The 17,146-nt window shown below is 34.1% G+C and overlaps 1 protein-coding gene across 24 annotated transcripts in view; it reads right to left on the reverse strand.

Annotated features, from left to right (window-relative positions):
* DGKB (diacylglycerol kinase beta) overlaps window positions 1-17,146 on the reverse strand; it is an 829,810-nt gene that overhangs the window by 269,370 nt on the left and 543,294 nt on the right. The window contains exon 22 of one of the 24 annotated variants that reach the window (XM_017011791.2): window positions 4,004-7,727. The exons of 22 other annotated variants lie outside the window; for them this stretch is intronic. In XM_017011791.2, the coding sequence (XP_016867280.1) occupies window positions 7,700-7,727 (28 nt within the window). In that variant the 3' untranslated portion in view covers window positions 4,004-7,699. Of the gene's footprint in view, window positions 1-4,003; window positions 7,728-17,146 lie in introns of those variants that run through there. One more of the 24 variants, XM_047419930.1, reaches the window with a different exon arrangement.

Below are 17,146 nucleotides of genomic sequence, written 5' to 3' on the forward strand. Positions count from 1 at the left end.
GCATAGTGTGGTACAGCTGCAGAACAGCCCTTCCCTAGAAGCCAGGCACCGGGTTTGGTTTTGTCTGTGTCAATAATAAAAGGCAGTAGCTTGGAGAAGTCATTTAATTAATCAGAGCTTTAGTTTCTTAACCTGTGTATTTAAAGAGTTTCCCTACATTTTCTGTAAGTTTCTTACAACATTAAAATTCTTTGTCTCTGTAACTAACAGAATAGGTATGCTGTAAGAAAAAAATATATACATTGAGGTAAACTTAAGTGTCTCTAGAGCATAACATTATCAAACTTTTTTTGTAGGTCCTGTGTAAGTGAGAATAAAAGCTCCACACAGTCCTTGACTTCATTCTAAATAGGTTGACACGGGTGTGAAATGACATTCTCCAGTCTTAGGGATGTGTGAAGGGCACTTAACATTTCTGACAAGCTGAGTCATTTGACATTATTCCCTGTGTAACTTATCCATTAAAATTTTATCTGTTGTGAACATAATTTTTAACAACTACATAAAATTTAAATACTCTGAAGAAAGCACCTAGTCATTTCAAGACTTTCTGATGTGATCTATGTTGAAACAAACAAACAAAAAATAAAAAAAAACCCTCCTATAGAGTCTCACCAGAGTACAGGTTTAAAAGTTAAAATATGTATTTCTAAAAGTAAATACATTATATAAGCATATGAAATAATGAATATATAATACATATTATATAAAGTGATTACATATAAATATATTTCTATTCCTTTTTGGAATTTGACTATTTTCTGGTGAATATTAAGATTAGCTTAGTTTTATGTATCAAATTAATGATTAACATTGAGTCAAATGACATTCATATATATACATATTTTTAAATTTTAGTATTATTATACTTTAAAAGCTTTAGTGTACATGTGCACAACGTGCAGGTTTGTTACATATGTATACATGTGCCATGTTGGTGTGCTGCACCCATTAACTCGTCATTTAGCATTAGGTATATCTCCTAATGCTATCCCTCCCCACTCCCCCCACCCCACAACAGGCCCCAGTGTGTGATGTTCCCCTTCCTGTGTCCATGTGTTCTCATTGTTCAATTCCCACCTATGAGTGAGAACATGCGGTGTTTGGTTTTTTGTTCTTGCGATAGTTTGCTGAGAATGATGGTTTCCAGCTTCATCCATGTCCCTACAAAGGACATGAACTCATCCTTTTTTATGGCTGCATAGTATTCCATGGTGTATATGTGCCACATTTTCTTAATCCAGTCTATCATTATTGGACATTTGGGTTGGTTCCAAGTCTTTGCTATGGTGAATGGTGCTGCAATAAACCTACATGTGCATGTGTCTTTATAGCAGCATGATTTATAATCCTTTGGGTATATACCCAGTAATGGGATGGCTGGGTCAAATGATATTTCTAGTTCTAGATCCCTGAGGAATCGCCACACTGACTTCCACAATGGTTGAACTAGTTTACAGTCCCACCTACAGTGTAAAAGTGTTCCTATTTCTCCACATCCTCTCCAGCACCTGTTGTTTCCTGACTTTTTAATGATTGTCATTCTAACTGGTGTGAGATGGTATCTCATTGTGGTTTTGATTTGCATTTCTCTGATGGCCAGTGATGATGAGCATTTTTTCATGTGTTTTTTGGCTGCATAAATGTCTTCTTTTGAGAAGTGTCTGTTCATATACTTCGCCCACTTTTTGATGGGGTTGTTTGTTTTTTTCTTGTAAATTTGTTTGAGTTCATTGTAGATTCTGGATATTAGCCCTTTGTCAGATGAGTAGGTGGCAAACATTTTCTCCCATTCTGTAGGTTGCATATATTTTTATATAGGGTTTAGCTTTTGATGTCAATATATTTAAGAAAAATTTCTATGTTTTTTTCAGTTATGTTTCATAGAATCAGGATAACTTCTGAAATTTTGGAAGGTAAGAGGATGTCCCTCCCACTCTTACTCATTGCTAAGAACTTTGTAAAATGTATGCTGTTTAAAAACATATATACCCTTCAAATTGATTTATATTATGGGTTATGACCAAAATCTTACCTTTGGCCTCAAGTCCTGGTACGGTTTGGCTGCATCCCCACCCAAATCTCATCTTGAATTGTAGCTCCCATAATTCCCACGTGGTGTGGGAGGGACCCAGTGGGAGGTAATTGAATCATGGGGGTGGTTTCCCCCATACTGTTCTCATGGTAGTAAATAAGTCTCACGAGATCTGATTGTTTTTTAAGGGGAAACACCTTTCACTTGGCTCTCATTCTTTCTTGTGTGCTGCCACGTAAGGCCTTCCCAGCCCCGTGGAACTGTGAGTCCATTAAACCTCTTTTTCTTTATAAATTACCAAGTCTCGGGTATGTCTTTATCAGCAGTGTGAAAACGGACTAATACAAGTCCCTTTTTACTGGGTTTAAATTAGTTAGTTTCTACATGCACAGGTAATTTTACTCAACGCTCCCTTTGTCTGGCAATCCATTCGAAAACTTTTTCGAATTGTAACCATTGCCTTCAATGAACAAGATTGTCGTCTGCTCCCCAGGCATCACTGACCGGGCAATTTCTTCCTTAGTGTAAGCAATCCAACAATGAAATATTCTCACAGTTACTGTACATGTTCTTGATTATAAAGATACACATATTTAATGGAAAGAACTAGGACCATAGGAACAGATTTGGTATTTTATTGTTTCTAATAAATTAACTTGTGACCTTCAGAACGACACTTAAGTTCTCTGCACCCTGCTGGTTTCCATAATGATTAGGTGTTTTCCAAGATTACATTTCCTCTAAAGTTTTAGGCTTCTACATTTTTAAATATATTATAATTATGATTAATTTCACAATTTCAAAGATTTAGTGTAAACTTGTTCTGAGATTGTTATATGCAGATGCTGTATTAGAACAAAATAAAAACTGTGAAATAACTAGCAACTTTAATGTTCACATATAAGACTTCAAGAAATATAACAAAAAGTGGAGTTATCCTGGCTCAGTGAACTAAGCTATAAAATTTTTGAATGGTAAGAGCTGTTAGAATTATGAGGTATCCACTAATTCAGAATATTAAATTTGAGATATACTTTATGAATAATTTTCTTTTTTATCTCAACTGGGAAAAATTATTCTTGAACCTCAACAGAGAAGTTTGATAAATGACATTTAAAATGATTAAAAATCATTCACCCAATTTAAGAAACTCCCTAAATAATAATCTGCAGCTCAATTTTGGTTAAGTTTTTGCATGGACATGTGAAAATTGGAAAGTAAAATAAATTGCTTCTGGTGATTTTTTACTTTTTTTTTTAACTTGTACAGTATACATTTATTTAACTATGACTGCTAGTAAATAATTAAATATAAACCTCTGTAAAGCTTTCTGCTGTAATATTTTGGATGAGAAGGATAGTTTAAACAGCAAGGTCTTCAGGATATTTGAGGGTTTATACCTTGCAGTAAAAAAGGAGAGAAAATAAAACAAAAAACTTTTACCTAGTTTGGATGGAAACCTTCTAGAATTCATTATACACTAATTTGCTTCTTTCAAAAAATGTCAGAGTTATAAACATAAGTAAACTTGAGTTTGCTGATGCCTGGTCATCATTTGCTTATTAATAAATGCAGCTTTCTGTATCTCACTGGTGTTTGTAGGACTCTGTACATCTCTATATTGCTGCATTACACAGCCTCTGATTATAATGCTTCTAGAGTTAGAGTTTTTAAAAATATATATTTTATATATAAATTTATATTTTTATATTTTATATTTTATAAATATAAATATAAAAAATTTTATATTTATAAATGTATATATTATATATGTACATATATTTTATATATGTGTGTATATATTATATATGTATATATATTTTATATATGTGTGTATATATACATATATGTATGTATATATGTATGTATATATGTATATATATACACACACATATATTCACATATATATGTGTGTGTGTATATATATATATATATATATACACACACACATATATTCATGTGAGTATACATATTTCCTTTATGGCAGAGTGTAAAATAGCAATTCCTTCTAATTATAATAATACAGCATACAATACAAAGTGAACCATAGTGTCTCCTACAAAGTAACTATCCTACAAATGTTAGCTGTCATTAGTACTATTAAATAGCTATTGAAACCCTGATGGTTTGTATCAGTCCATTTATTTCTTTTTAACAGGCTATCATTCTGATGCAAACATAAATAACAAACAATCTTGGACTATGTTGAAAAATGGGTTAGGCTTGCAGTCAAAACATCTAGGTTTAATCCTGGATATGTTGCTTCATAGCTAGGTTAATTTCATTAGCATTGTTACCCTTAAGCTTGTTGTCTTAGATTTTAAAAGCAGGACAATAATGGTTATCTTGCAGATTCGTTATGAGTAGCAGTTTAAAAATAGATGTGACAAAAAGGTGAGAAATTCATTATCACAAAACTGTCACACAGAAGGCATTCAGTAAGGGTTAACTGAATCTGAAATCAGGAAATAAGGTTGCTTCTAAAATATAAACATTTATAAACATTCACAATATTCCAGGCCATAGGTTCTGCATAGCACATTAGGGAGACAAGACTCACTATTAAGAAACCTGTCATTGAATATGATTATTGTGATTGAGAGAGCAGAGAAAGGAGAATAATAGAATCCTTACTCTGGGACAGCGGAATGTTTGTCCTATTAAAAAAATTCTTTACACAATTATAATTTATTTTATTCAAAAAATAAATTCACTGTAATTACGTATGAAGAAAATAAACCTCTGCAAAATTATCTATACTATGGGAAAAAGAAAAGGAGTGAGAAAGTAATTGAGTGAATTCAACTGTTAATATGATATATAACACATTTTTAAATTTAGAGTAGAAACTATAAATAAAGCTATGCTGTAATCAAAATTGTACTAGGAAATACACATGTAAAGATACTTCTGAATATTTCTTTGTCCAATTCTCAGTCAACTGTAAAACTGCTGAGTTTTGGAGATATAAACTTTGCAAAACTCAGATCATTACTCCTTTTGGGCTTTTAGTTACAATTAAGGAAATTATGATTATCTATTTGTTTATATTTGCTGTGTGGCAAAAGACAATATGAAAAATGTTACTTAGTGAGGGTTTGGTGATCGTTACCAGCTTCCACATTATCCTTAAAGTTGTGTTGAAATGATTGAAGATAAATGCACTTAATTTGAAAAAAAAAAAAATGTTGGACTGGAACTGATAGTGTTCCAGGAAAGTTGAAAGAAATCATGAGCAGGAAACAGTGAACAATCTTACGAGACATAGAGACATACAGGCTCTCAGTTAGCTCTGAATGGCCTTTACAATCAAGATATAAACTATGTGACAAATGAGTGTAAAATACCAAAGCACTGGCTTGTTTCATGAAGATAAGAACAGTCTCAAAGTCCTTGTGTTCCATATGGTCCATGGATTTCCAAAGAGGAATATGCTTGAACAGATCAAAAAGCAAAATAGACATTGTGTCTGGCTGGTATTTGGGACATGGAAGAGCGACATCTAATTTCTTAAATAATGTCAACTTATACTGCTGTGCTTTTATTGGACAGATATGTGTGAGGCTTTGAATACATCCAAACTGAAACTTCAAGAACAAACATCAATATTATTGATTATTTTAACTTTTTTTAGAAGTTCTAACTAAAATGCAGCCCTGGGCATAGAAAACTGGTGTTTAAAAGAAATAGTCTTATTCTAAACAATATATATACATTGTTTATATTTTATATAAACAAAATTTTTTGTTTATATATGTATTCTGTTTATATTTTGTATTATAATACATTTACTCTGTATTAAAGATGAATTCAAGTGGTAATATTTTCATTGTGATATGGCTCAAAAATATGTTTACATTTTGTGAAGTTCTCTTGTCTCATTGATCCTTAGGCTCCTAAAGCTAATCTGCAAGAGGGTTTTCAGATTTCAATTTTAATTCATTTGCCAATATAACTGCTAGAAAATCACATTTAGAGTAAGTTTTGGTAAAATATCTACCTTATTACAAACTGAGCAGATTTGGGTGGGGAGCAGTATCTATCCTATTTATATTAATAAATATATTTCAGAATCTATTTTTTCTCTGTACTTCTGAAGTGAAAAATAAATCATCAGAGTAGACTTAAAAGTGAAAGTGGCTGCTATTGTCCTAAATCTATCCCATTTGTGATATGAACTCAGAAGCTTCAGTTTCTTTGGAAATTATTATAGACACGGACTACTGCATGAAGTTTCATTTACCTTAAACTTCTAATTGAAGTTTCACCTATATGTGGCTGAGATGCTGATTCAGTTCAATTCAAATATTAACTAACTAAATCCTTATCTGGCTGATGAGAAAGAAAGAGTAGCCCACATGAAGCAGGAGAATAGGGTCTGGAGGCAGGGAAGCTAAGGTCAATTCATGCTGACGTCCTAGAACTGGATCAAAAGGAAAACCCCACCTCTCCATGCCCAAGTGACAAAGGATCAAATGCTACTCCTTCCACAACCCCCACCCCCTTCCACTGCGTCACAGATGGAAAATGGAAAGTACCTCTGATTGGACGTGGGCCAAGCGTGGGCCAATCCTTCATTTGCATAAGGTGCCAATCCATTTCAGCCTCTGATTGGCCAGAGTCAAACCTCCACTTCCATCCTTTATTACATAGCGTATAAGCAATGGGAAATCTTTAAAGGGTACTTAAACCCCAGAATATTTTGTAACCAGGGCTCCTGAGCTGCTTGCTTGAGCCCGCTCCAATTCTGTAGAGGGTATTTTCACCTTAATAAATCTATGTTTCTGTTGCCTTTTGTGTCAATAAATCTATGCTTTTGTTGCTTGTTCATGCATGCTGTTCAAATCCTTGTTCAATACATCAAGAGCCTAGATGACTCACGATCAGAACCCTTTATCTAGTAACACTTTACAAACATATATGCTCATTTTAATTTTTAAAATAACTTTTTGAATAAAATAATGTATGTTTATAAAGTGCATAGTAAACTGTAAACTAATATGTAATAAATGAGTTATTGTTGTCATCCTTATCTTTTTCTAATCAAAGTAGATAATATCTATTCTAAAACAAGTTATTCAAATGTCTTTTGCCCTTTGTCTTATTCAAATGTCAATTGCCTCTAGAAGTTTTGATTTTAAGAAAAGGAAATGTTTTGCCTTTCAATCTTTATCAATGGAAAACATTTCACTCAGTCTCAAAATGCAATTTCCACAGATATTTTATTGGGTAGAGTACTTTTAAAAAGCTCTAAAATAAGAAAGTGATGATAATGGAAAGCAATATTTAGTATCAACTTTGAATAGGCACAAAGAGCACTGATGTAATTAGAGATACTTAGACATGTAGCTAAAGAAAATATACCTCTGGGAGAAAATGTAACTGCTGTTACTATTTTCAAACAAATATGGGGCTCAGAAGTATCTATTTAAGTGCCAATATTAAATATCTCACCATGTTTCCATTATAAACCCTTCTTTTAGGAGTTTATAACTGGGCCATAAAAATTCACTTCAGGCACTCCTTAGTATCCAAAAAAGCTATTACAGCCTTCTGGGAAAATAATAAGCATATTTATAGAAGGTATATATAAAAATATTGATATGTTTACCTATTTTTAAAAATGCACTTGTGACAACTAATCTCCTTTATCAATTTGCTGAATCATATTACCTTCTTCAGTTCCATTAACCTAAAAGGAAAAATACAATTAAATTTAGTCTCCTTTCAATTGTTTCTAAATATGATTAATCTGGTGTCAACAAAGTATCGCTGTACTTCAGAATTTGCCTGCTGGCCTCTAAAAAGCCAAGGAAGGGGTAATAACTTTTAATGGAGTAAATACTTGTTTATTTTTCTGAAGTTAACTTTTTTGTTGTTATTGTTGAGATTTTTCTGTTGCAAACATTGTGTACAGTCAAAAACTCTGCGAATAAAGAAACAGAGACACTTATAAATACATGTGTACTTTTTGATTATTTCTTTAGAATCAGAAAGACTTAAACCCATGTACATTTTATTTTGGCAGAAGATCATGTAATTTTTCCACAATTACTCACATACCGCAGCAGAGGACACAAAATCATTCCAGGCTTTATTAATTTCAAATACCCAAAACTGTCTTGAGAAGAAAATACCTTTATATTATTTTATTTGATAGTGAAGTCTTAAAGTTCTATTTCTCTCATAGGTTTTTTGTTTGTTTTAGCAGTTAGCTAAAAAGTTTCCCAATTAAAACATTTTAGTACTTAATCCTATGGTTGTCATGCATGAGACTGGTTCATTAACAAGGTGGAAGGTAGAATAGTGAATAGATTTTTCACAATATAATGAGCATGATAATAATAATAGTAGTAGTAATAAGAAATAACAACAATACAAAGAATACTAACAGCAAACATTCTTTTTGAGTACTTTCCACCTCACTGGTATGCGGTTAAGTTCTTTACATACATTATTCCCCAATTAAATCTACGAGATCAGCGCCTGTTTTGCTAGGGAAACTAGGCTGTAAGGAATGAAATCACTAACGCAATATTATATAGCTAACTATTGGCAGTGCTGGGACTCAAATTACATTCTGAAGATGAAGCCTGTGTTTAATAATCAAGTTCTACCACTCTTTCTACTTTAGAAGAAAATCAGTATGATTTGGTTAAATTAGATGCTCTAACAAGAAGGAAATAGCTGACCCAAATTATAGATGGAAAACTATACGGTAAGATAGCTGGATTGCTAGACAATAGTCAGCATAATATCACTATTATTAAAAATTCATAAATATTTTTGCCATCCTAGGAACTAGTCTTTAAACTTACTACATACCTTGCTATTCAATTGCAAAATGTAAGATTTAAAAAATGGCTCTTCTTTAAAATAAATGTCAAAAAGAATGGTGTTATTTATCTTTGAAGTTAGCAATATTAATTACTTGAAAATTAGTAAAATTGTCTGACGTTTAAGAGGTTTTAAACGGTCTCCTAACTATTATACTTTTAGATTTTACAAAATGAGTGTTCAAATATCATCTGGTTTATAATTAATACATAAAAGCCAGTGAATCTAAGTGCACGTACATTTTTATTTAACTGTGTAATTACTGATTAGTAGTTCATAAAATTGGTTTTGATATATTTTGAGAGCCTTTACAATAACTTTGCAACTTTTAACTCATGCAAAAGTGATTCAGTATAAAGTTGGACTAAAATTCAGAACAGAACTTCTTTTACGAAGTTAACAGAGATAATTGATATTTCACTCAATGATGACTGCATTAAAATCATTGACACACATTTAACATTCATAACTGCTCTAACCCTTGAATTTGGTATATGGCAATATATTGAATCTAAAACTCTTAATTGCTTTCTCATCAATCTATTTCTCCCCTGGTCTTTTCCTCTTTGTAAATGGTAACTCTATTCTTGTAGTTGCTCAGGCCCAAATCTTTATCATTTAGTTGTCTTCTACATGTCATTTAAATCAACCAGTAAAACTCATTAATGTCAACTTCAAAATATATCCAGAATGCAGCCATATTTCATCACTTTCAACACCATCACCTTAGTTCAACCAGTATTACTCCCTACCTGGTCTTGGGCAATAGGTTCCTAACTGGTTTCACCATTTAAATCCTTACTCTCTACGTCTTCCATGCAAAAACCAGGATTGGTCACTGTTCATCTAGCCAAATCCTACCATTCAGTAAAACCAAATCATCATCACTATCTCTGGGGTCATGTGTGGCCTGAACCTCTGCTCTTTTTCTGTCCTCATTCTCCCTGCCCAGTTTTGTTTGTTTATTTATTTGTTTCAATCACTCAGCTCTTGCTACATTGGTCTTTCCTTGAGTACACCTAATGTGGATCTGTCCTTGATGCTTCGTGACTATTTTCCTCCCTGTTCAAAATATTCTTCCTCCAGATTTCCACCTGTCCCATTTTCTTCATCTTTTTTTTTTAAGTCTGTGCTCAAATACCATTTAGCAAAAAGCCTTCTCTGACCACCCTATATAAAAGAGTTAGGTCTATCACTCTCTGGAAGCTTTTTTATATTAATAATAACCATCCCTTATATTCTAGGCATTCTGCTAAATGTATTATATCTGCTATTTCATAATCTTCAAGACACTACTGAGAGGTAGGTTTTATTATTTCTCTTAAATAACTGAATAAAATTTAAATAAAACACTAAAGGTATGGTTAAGCTTCAAACCGGGTCTCCGGATTCCTCAGTCCTTGTTCTCCATGAACTGCATAATCCCATTTATGCTTCAAAACTCTCCCAATTTAACAAATAGGGAATGTGAGGCTCAAGGGTTTGAAATAATTGCCCAGATCACACAGCAAGTAAGTAGTAGAACAGGAATTCAAATGTAGGTTGATCAAATCTGATGTTTACTCCCCTGCACCACACTGCCTTCCTGTGGACAAGGTCATATCCTTATTGCCAATTGCCAGCCAAAGATAGATAAGATGAGTTCACTCTCCATTCTTCTGGGCTTTATTTTTGCTTACTTACTCAAGTCTCACATAAATACATATTCATCTTAGATCTATAACTTGGTTGATGTAGAAATATAAGAAAAGTGCACATATGATATAGAACATTAACAATATTGACATTATCCCAGAAATTATATAATTAAGAATTGAAATTTATATGATTTTCATTGATTTTTTTCTTCTTTTATTTGCTAATATTCTATCCTCTCAACAACATACTGCTAAACTTTGCTTTGTTCAATGTCCATGCTTGATCATTGAATTAAAATCCCTCTAAAATAATAAGTAGGACATATCTCAAATATATGTATCCATAATATAAAACATATTCATTTAGAATCTTTGCAATGTACCATTATACTAAGGCCATAATAAAAATTCTCACTTGTCTGTATACTTGGTGAAAGAATAAGATCAACTGAACCATATAGTTGCTTTATATAGAAATCAGCCTGTACATATCTAATTGAATTTACTAATTGTCACAGGTGAAAAAAAATGCCATTTTCATACTGAAATCAAATATAATCCTGACATAAAGGTCATAAATTTAAAAATTTATGCAAAGATACCTCAAGCTACTACTGGAACACCTATATCCAACATACAGAAAGAATCAATACAAGCATTAATCTGATAGTCAGTATTAGACATAAAGTGACTGAAATAGAGCTTGATTACAAGAGCAATGTCTCCTGCTTTGAGAATAAACATTTCAGTTTTGTCTCAGCATTTATGTAACAGCAGGAGAGAGAAGACAAGTTATCTTGTGACAACATCCTGCAGTATGTCATTGACATTATCTTATAATTAGACTTGCATTAAAGATGATTAATAGTATCTTCTTTGGTGCCTAATCAGTGCAGTCTCATAGCATATACAAAAATGAGTATTTTAGATCACTTTAAGTCAGTATTACAGCAGTAAAATCGTTATGTTCCTTTTCCCTCAAAGCCATCTCAAACAAAATAACAATATTTTCATTCAATTTTTGTTGGTAACAGTTTGAAAGAAAATGCCACAAGTATTTAGAGTGTTGAAATTCAAATTTTATCTAATTAACCTGAAACTCCTGTATTTTTTGAATCCAGATTTAAACCACTATTGTGGCTACCGCTAATAGCTATATATGAATTAACAGAAAATGAAAGATTTACTTCTAAGAGAAACATAACACAAGCTAGTTTCATGTGTAGTCAATTCAAAGTTTTATGAATTATTGGACTCAGATTACCTACAGGCCTGGAAGACAGTGGCTCTGTCTACTATTGGAGATGCTGGCTCATTGCACTGAAAATTTGCTATTTATGTATAAAGGATAAGATTGGACTTAGAAATCTGTAAATTAAGCTAAGTGATTTAAAGCCATGCAGCGTACATGTGAGACACAAGAATCAAACCCTTAAGCTTTATTTGTGAGGAAGTAGCATTCATGTGTGCTTAGCCTACCAAGGGGGATCAGCAAATGTTTGCTGAATGGATGCATGAATGGATGGAGTGGCTTCATAGCACAATAAAGTCATGTACCACAATAGTTAGGGGGTACAGCTGGAAATAACAAGTCTTTATAAAGTGACCAGACTAAAACAGCTTTAATGCTGTCCCACTGCTACCTATTTGCCTACTGGGATCTGAGTGATTTGTTGAGAATGAAGTATCCTAGGCAACCATGCTAAAATTATGAGTTCAGAAAAGGCGAACTATTTAACAGGCTAGACATACTGATGGAAGCTATTGTGGGGCCTTCAATTTAAAATTTGTTGAATTTGTGTACTTAGTTCCACTGACTCTGTATTATTAAGAAATTCCACTATGGGCCAAGCGTGGCAGCTCATGCCTGTAATCCAAGCACTTTGGGAGGCCAAGGCAGGTGGATCACTTGAGGTCAGGGGTTTGAGACCAGCCTGGCCAACATGAGGAAACCCCATCTCTACTAAAAAAAAAATACAAACATTAGCCAGGCACGGTGGAGTGTGCCTGTAATCCCAGCTACTTAAGAGGCTGAGGCATGAAAATCACCTGAACCCAGGAGACGGAGGTTACAGTGAGCCAAGATAGTGTCACTGCACTCCAGCCTGGGTGACAGAGTGAAACACTCTCAAAAAATACAAGGGGGAACACACACTGGGGCCTGTCAGGGAGTGGGGGGTGGGAGAGCATCAGGATAAATAGCTAATGCATATGGGGCTTAATACCTAGGTAATAGGTTGATAGGAGCAGCAAACCACCATGGCACATGTTTACGTATGTAACAAACCTGTACGTCCTGAACAGGGGCAAAATGCCACCAGTCATTTTGCTAAAATGCAACAAGAGTCACCTATGCTTCACTTCCCAACAAGTTCTTCATCTCCATCAGCCTCAGCCTCAATTTCATTGCCCATATCACTATCAGCAGTTTGGTCAAAGCCATTCAACAAGTCTCTAGGGAGTTCCAAATTGTCTCACATTTTCCTGTCTTCTTCTGAGCCCTCCAAACCGTTCCAACCTCTGCCCAGTTACCCAGTTCCAAAGTTGCTTCCACATTTTTGGGTATCTTTTCAGCAGTGACCCACTCTACTGGTACTAATTTACTGTATTAGTCCATTTTCACGCTGCTGATAGAGACATATCTGAGACAGGGTGATTTACAAAAGAAAGAGTTTTCTTTACAGTTCCACATGGCTGGGGAGGACTCACAATCATGGCAGAAGGTGAAAGGCACATCTCACATGGTGGCAGACAAGAGAAGAGAGCTTGTGCGGGGAAATTCCCGTTTTTAAAACCATCAGATCTTGTGAGACTTATTCACTATCATGAGAACAGCACAGGAAAGAACTGCCCCCATGATTCAGTTACCTCCCACCAGGTCTCTCCCACAACATGTGGGAATTCAAGGTGAGATTTGGGTGGGGACACAACCATACCACAATGTTTTAGAATACATTTGGCCCTATAAAACTGTAGATTCAAGTCTACAATAATTTCTCAAAAGTTTTCTTAAATTATATCTTTCTCTATGTTTTAAATTTTCCTGTTTATACAGTTTGTTTCTACCAGCACATCAATTTTCTATTGATGGTTCATTTATTTTTCAATATTTTCAATATTGAAAATTTTATTGAATATTCAATAAAAAATATTCTGATTCTGGCAATCAGAAATAATAGGCAATTATTTAATGCCTATTGTATGCTAGACAGTGTTCTATACTTTGTTTCATAACTTTTTCTGTGATATATATATATAATTTTCTTTACAATCATCTTCCAATATTCTTTCATTTTGACTCATTTTGCTTACTTTATCAGTTCTGTTCTCTGAGCCCCTTATTACTCTCATCAGTGACTTTTTACTGCTTCTATTTTGACTTTCACTTCTGTAACTGCTTTATATTTACCTTTAACATCTTCCTTAGTCTCTCCTGGTTTGGGTTTTATCTTTGTGTCACTATACATTCTGAGGTATTGAAATACTGATTTGTTGTTTTGCATCGAGGTTGTTTGGGGGTATGAGGAAGTGAGAGGTTCATAAAATAAAACAGTGTGATTTCCTTCTGCTCATACCAATATTTTTCTTGTTGCTTTTCTCAGCCTGCTCCTTCCTCCCTTTCTTTTTCTCTTTTTGTTTTCCCACATTATTGTATAGAGCCTATACTTGTTCATTTTCTTCATTATTGCTCTTAAATGAAGTGAGTACAACAAAAATTGGGACTGTTAAGTGCAGAGTATCAGAGGTTTCCTCTAATTAATGGGAAGTTTCTTAGGATTAAAAATAGGTGCACATGTGATTGTGTAAGTGTGTATGTTTTTGCATTACATTGTATACCCCTCTCCCTTTAATTTTGCCACTCACTGATTCAGCTAATGGCAAGATCTGAGAACAAAAAAACCCATGCTCATTCAGATGCTAGGAAAACAGGCTGAAAAGAGCAGAGAACATTCCCCAAGCCCCTATTTTACTAAGGACTCTTTGTAATATAAAAAATATAAATTTTTTATCTGAACAAATGACCATTTTATATTTCTATATAAAAGTTGGTGGTTTAATAATACAGGACTAGAATAATGTAGATTTTTAATTTTCATAGAAATTAAACTCTGTAGCCAAAGGCCCTCAGAGATTACTAAACACAGAAGGCATATTGAAAACAGAAGATTCTATTTTGACAGAAGGATTAGACATATTTTTGTTACTGAGAAAATACTATTTATTTTCATAGACTGAATGTTTGAGTCCCCCCAAAATGTTAAAATCCTAATCTCCCGTGTGATGGTGTTAGGAAATGTGGCCTTTAGGAGATAATTAGGTCTTGAGGATGGAGCCCTCATGATGGGATTAGTGGTGCCATAAGAAGAGAGGAGATAACTTGCTCTCTCTTTCTCTTTTTTTCTACCTTGTGAGGATACAAGGAGAAGATGTACATCTGTGAATTAGAAAAAGGGTCCTCACCAGAACCAAATGTGCAGACATCATGATCTTGGACTTCCAAGCCTCCAGAACTGTGAGTAATAAATGTTTGTTGTTTAAGCCACTCAACCTATGGAAATTTAATACAGCACTCTGAGCTAAGACATTCATGATCACTTTTAGGTGCCTTTAGTTCTGGTAGTCACATGGAAGATATATCTGAAGAGTCTGATCTCCTCTTCACTCTGCGCCCTTTCCACTTTATAGTGGATGCACATGAAAATGTATTTTGGGGGCCAGGCACGGTGGTTCATGCCTGTAATCCCAGCACTTTGAGAGGCCAAGGTGGGCAGATCACGAGGTCAGGAGTTCAAGACCAGCCTGGCCAACATGGCAAAACCCTGTCTCTACTAAAAATACAAAAATTAGCTGGGCATGGTGGTGTGTGCCTGTAATCCCAGCTACTCGGAAGCCTGAGGCAGGAGAATTGCTTGAACCAGGACCCGGAAGGCGGAGGTTGTAGTGAGCTGAGATCAGGCCACTGGACTCCAGCCTGGGCTACAGAGTGAGACTCTGTCCCCCCCCCCAAAAAAAAGGCAAAATGTATTTCGGGGAAATTCCTGCAAGCATACTAGTCTTAGCAAGTATTGGTGTGGCTTCACTTGGGAAATGATTGCTTTTTACTGATTGTTTGCTCTTTCTAGACTTTTTAGTTACATTCTTTCACAGGAAATATGTTTGACTTGTTGTTATTAAAGTACATAGTGTTTCTCTGTGGCCCGTTTTGGGTCCTAGCAAGTGGCTGATGGCTTCCTTGCACTTTCACACACTCGTGGCAACATTCAAAAGAAAATGAAGTCAGACTTGGACCAAGATATACGCCTTTAGATGATGCTATGAGATGGTCTTTTAAAAATATTTCATCAAAGTTCTTTGTCTTGAAAGACTAACAATGCTTGTTAGATTGTTAATTTTTGAGATCCATGTGACTTATATCTATATTTTCATATCATTAAAATATTTCACTGGCTGTTGAGATATAAGTCACAATCTGCCAATTTGTCATTCTTTTCAATGACATCTGGATCCAAAATCATGATTGGTTAACATGTGAAGTTGGTCCATTAATTTTATCCAGGAAAAAGTTATTGGAAGCTACATACATAGTTTTAAGATTTAAAATTTCAAATTTCTATGACTAATAAACTACAGAATCCCTCATGCCACATCTCTAACACATTGATTCCGTAAATGTTTCTTAAATTATGTTCAGTGCTAAGATGCCAATAAAGTTTCATTTTAGATGAATACAATATAAATTGATTTATTAGTTGAATATTTGTTGTATATTTGGGCCAACTGTCCAAGTGAATTTATTCAGATATCCACATTTTATATATAACTACTTTCACATTTCTGAGTAATTTCATTGGCACATTTTTATGTGTTACAGAAGTACTTTATGATTTGGTGAAAATAATATTTACTTTGATTTTCATATCGTACCATAGCTATCTAAGAATCTACCTTTATTATCTAATTATAACCATCCTGCCAACAATTCTACCTCTAGATTTGTTCTATTCTGCATAGACATATCTACCTAGAAGAGCCTACCTCAGAGAGGAATTTCCCTCTGAAGTATCATTTTCCTGTGGCCTGTTTTCTTGCCTTCTTGTTTTGATCTTTCAGGCGATGTGACTTTCCTGGCTATAGTTGCTCTCCTGAGTCTCTGACCTCCCAACATAAAAAGGCCTCTTCTCCCTTGTGTTGCCTCCGGGTTTTCTCTTTCATTGTTATGTGTGTAAGCCTTCCTTCTGCATGACTGATTGACTTTCTTCCCTGATCTCCTGTTTTGGAAGCTGGATCATCATGACCACTTACCTGACCGCTGAACCATCAGCCATTCTGCAGTGTAACTTTTAACACCTTTTAGGGTTCCTTAAACCTCACATTTTTATCTACTGAGACTGTGATATAACTTTAAGCAGTAATATTAAAACTTGTAATATTCATTTACAACAGACATTTTTTCTGCTTTTTTAAGTGAAAAGTTGAATATTAGCAATTTAATTGGATCAACCTAATATTAAGTGTAAACATAAACTGTGCTGCTGAAAATGTTCAGAAATTCAAACTCCTCTACTTCAAAGCTCTGACACCATGTCACGAACCAAAGAAACAATTTAGTAGCTCTTACATAATAGACTAAGTATCA

The sequence above is a fragment of the Homo sapiens genome, chromosome 7 (genome assembly GCF_000001405.40).
Source record: "Homo sapiens chromosome 7, GRCh38.p14 Primary Assembly".
In the NCBI taxonomy this organism is placed as follows: Eukaryota; Metazoa; Chordata; class Mammalia; order Primates; family Hominidae; genus Homo; species Homo sapiens.